Below are 3,736 nucleotides of genomic sequence, written 5' to 3'. Positions count from 1 at the left end.
GCCAGAAGCATGAAAACAAGAGCTATCTACAGCCTGCCTACAACATGTGATGCTATTACATACCTTGTTCTCAAATCATGACACTAATTCTGTATAGTAGGAATTATTAATTACCTTTTCACGGATGAAATTGGCTGAGGAATGTGAAGTCGCTTGCCTAAAGTCACAGAGCCGGCAAGTGGCAGAACCAGATTCCAGTCCCAAGTGAATCTGTTCCTTCTGCTGTGCCAAGCTGACTTCCGGTGCAGCCAGCAGCTGGGCCCTAACAGGATCAGTTAGTGTGAAGAGCACCCAGCCTCATGGATTTCCAGAGAAGGAGCTCTTTTCCTCTGTCAGGTAATTGGATTTTCTGCAGAAGGGAATCTTGGTGCTTAAATAAGTTTGATCAATGATTTACACCCTCTCTCTCCTCCCTCTTCCACTTGCAGGAATTGAATTTTGATTGAAAAATAAGCTTTAACCATTCACTTCATTCGTCACTGAAAATTGCTTCAGTCAAATGGCAGAGAAAACAGCCAAAGATAAACGTGGAGCTGAACCACTTCCTTCAGCCTCTCACCCAGCCCGGGGAGAGCTCCTATAGCACCCATGGAACAGCAACCTTAAAAACCACAAAGTACCACTTCTACCAGCTGGCAGCAGTTACACTAAATTTGTCTAAGTAAAGATAGTTTCATCCAACTCTAGACTTGGGGAAGGTCATGTTTCAGAGATGAAAAAAACAGACATGATTGTTTAATTCACGTAGGGAAAGAAGAAGCACTTTACACATGTTATCCACACCTGGCCTTCCCAAGCTGCCTCTCCAGAAATCCTAGGATGGAAGAAACGAAATGCATCTATCCAAGTGGCTGGTATTAGAGAAAGGGTTCTTGTGGCTCGGACACATACATCACCCACAGACTGGCGTGCATGTGCATGCACTCACCACACACACAAATACATAGGCTTCAAAAAGACACACAGAGCCCCGGGCATACTTCTTAAAACATGATAGTGATTCAACACGCATTAATAGGAGAAGACTTTGTCTATAAAGGAAACAGAAAGTAGAGTGAAAGTAAGAATTCATTTTATTTGTTGAATAAACAAATAAATAATCAAATAAATATGCCTTCCTGTGACAAATATGTATTGAGTAACTACTACATGCTAGCCTCAGTTCAGGGGTAGGGATATAACAGTGAGCAATAAGTGGCAAATAAAGCACAGCCCCTGGCCTAAATGTGTTTACAGCCTTTTGGGGAAGAAAAACAATAAACGGACAATTTCAAAACCCTATGATAAATGCTATAGTATCAACTTTGTTTAGGTTTTGACTCTTACATTCCATCCAGTTTTCCCCAAATTAATCTACAGATCAAACACAGTACCAATCAAAACTCCAGCAGGATTTTTGTAGAATTGACAAGCAGAATTACAAAAGTCATATGGAAATGCAAAGGACGTGGAATAGCTAAAAACAACTTTCAAAAAAAAAGAATTTAATTGGAGGACCAAGTCTATCTGAATTCAATACTTATTATGAAGCTAAGGCAATCATGACAGCTGGCAGCAGTTACACTAAATTTGTCTAAGTAAAGGTAGTTTCAGCCGGGTGCGGTGGCTCACCCCTGTAATCCCAGCACTTTGGGAGGCCGAGGCGGGCAGATCACCTGAGGTCAGGAGTTTGAGACCAGCCTGGCCAACATGGTGAAACCCCATCTCTACTGAAAATACAAAAAGCAGCTGAGTGTGGTGGCTCACACACGTAATCCTAGCTTCTTGGGAGGCTGAGGTAGGACAATCACTTGAACCCGGGAGGCGGAGGCTGCAGTGAGCTGAGCGCGCACCATTGCACTCCAGCCTGGGCAACAAGAGTGAAACTCTGTCTCAAAAAAAAAAAAAAAGTTACTCCAAGTAAAGAGTGTAGAACAGTGCCTGGCACATGGTAGGCACTCTGCAAGTGTTGCCATTATAATTGTAATAATAATTATTATTATTATTATTATTTTGTTGTTTGAGATGGAGTTTCACTGTTGTTGCCCAGGCTGGAGTGCAATGGTGCCATCTTGGCTCACCACAACCTCCACTTCCCGGGTTCAAGCGATTCTCCTGCCTCAGCCTCCCGAGCAGCTGGGATTGCAGGCATGCGCCACCATGCCTGGCTAATTTTGTATTTTTAGTAGAGATGGGGCTTTTCCATGTTGGTCAGGCTGGTCTCGAACTCCCAACCTCAGGTGATCCACCCACCTTGGCCTCCCAAAGTGCTGGGATTATAGGCATGAGCCACCGCACCCGGACTAATTATTATTATTATTATTATTATTATTATTACCACTTTGTTTGTTTTTGTCCCTGGACTGGGCATGGCAGACCAACTTGACGATCGGGAGGGATCAAAATAAGAACCAGGAGAGAGGTCTCGGGGCCACTGTCCTCACTAACCTCGCTCCCACCCCATCCACCCCAAATCCTTCTTTCCTCCCCTCTGCCCGCCAGTGTCCTAGCTCCCACCACCCGGCTTGTCTTTCTCCCTCCCCCTGAGTTACAGAATTAAGCCTGGGAGGTGGGGAAGGGGAGGAAGAAGAGGAGATAGTGAAAGATGGAGAAAGAAAAGAGGAAGAATGAAGATTTCTCCTTCCTTCCTTCCTTCCTTCCTCTCTCTCTCTCTTCTTTCTTTATTTTTTTCTTTGAGACGGAGTTTTGCTCTTGTTGCCCAAGCTGGAGTGCAATAGAGCGATCTTGGCTCACTGCAACCTCCACCTCCCAGGTTCAAGTGAATTCTCCTGCCTCAGCCTCCCGAGTAGCTGGGATTACAGGGACACGCCACCACACCCAGCTAATTTTTTGTATTTTTAGTAGAAACAGGGTTTCACCATGTTAGCCAGGCTGGTCTCGAACTCCTGACCTCAGGTGATCTGCCCGCCTTGGCCTCCCAAAGTGCTGGGATTACAGGTGTGAGCCACCTCACCCGGCCCCCTCCCCTCCCCTCTTCTCTTCTCTTCTCTTCTCTTCTCTTCTCTTCTCTTCTCTTCTCTTCTCTTCTTTCTTTCCCTTCCTTCCTTCCTTCCTCTCTTTCTCTTTTTTTTTTTTTTTTTTGAGACGGAGTCTCGCTCTGTCACCCAGGCTAGAGTGCAGCGGCGCAATCTTGGTTCACTGCAACCTCTGCCTCCCGGGTTCAAGCAACGCTCTGCCTCAGCCTCCTGCGTAGCTGAGATTACAGGCGCCCGCCACCACGCCCGGGTAATTTTTTTGTATTTTTAGTAGAGACGGGGTTTCACCATCTTGGCCAGGCTGGTCTTGAACTCCTGACCTGGTGATCCACTCGCCTTGGCCTCCCAAGTTGCTGGGATTACAGGCATGAGCCACCATGCCCGGCCTTCTTCCTTTCGTTCTTTCTCTCCTTCCTCCCTCCCTCCCTTCCTTCCTTCCTGTCTCTCGCTTCCTCTCTTCCTTTCTCTTTTCTTTTCTTTCTTTCTCTCTCTCTCTTTCTTTCTTAATTCTTTCTTTCTTTCTCTTTCTCTCTCTCTTTCCTTCTTTCTTTCCTTCTTTCTTTCTTGTCAGACTTTCAGAAATGGGCCAAGATCCATTCTAGCCCTGCACTTTGGTAGGAGGAAGCGTTATCATGTTGTAATCACTCTGTATTGGGCAGGGCTCTCGTCCCCAGGGCCACACAGCCAGATGCTAGCCCAGGTCCATCTCACTCTGAAGTCCGGACTCTTTCTGTCTCCTGCAACTGGGAATAGACTGGGAG

The 3,736-nt window shown here is 46.1% G+C and overlaps 1 annotated feature.

Moving 5' to 3' along the window:
• Positions 2,838-3,736: an enhancer, noted in NCBI's record as "H3K27ac-H3K4me1 hESC enhancer chr1:113301747-113302645 (GRCh37/hg19 assembly coordinates)". NCBI's record gives its function as "activates a minimal SCP1, AML or CMV promoter by ChIP-STARR-seq in naive H9 embryonic stem cells {active_cell/tissue: H9 hESC(naive)}" and the evidence as "EXISTENCE:reporter gene assay evidence [ECO:0000049][PMID:30033119]".

The sequence above is a fragment of the Homo sapiens genome, chromosome 1 (assembly GCF_000001405.40).
Source record: "Homo sapiens chromosome 1, GRCh38.p14 Primary Assembly".
Classification (NCBI taxonomy): domain Eukaryota; kingdom Metazoa; phylum Chordata; class Mammalia; order Primates; family Hominidae; genus Homo; species Homo sapiens.
This window is presented reverse-complemented; position numbering and strand designations above follow the sequence as displayed.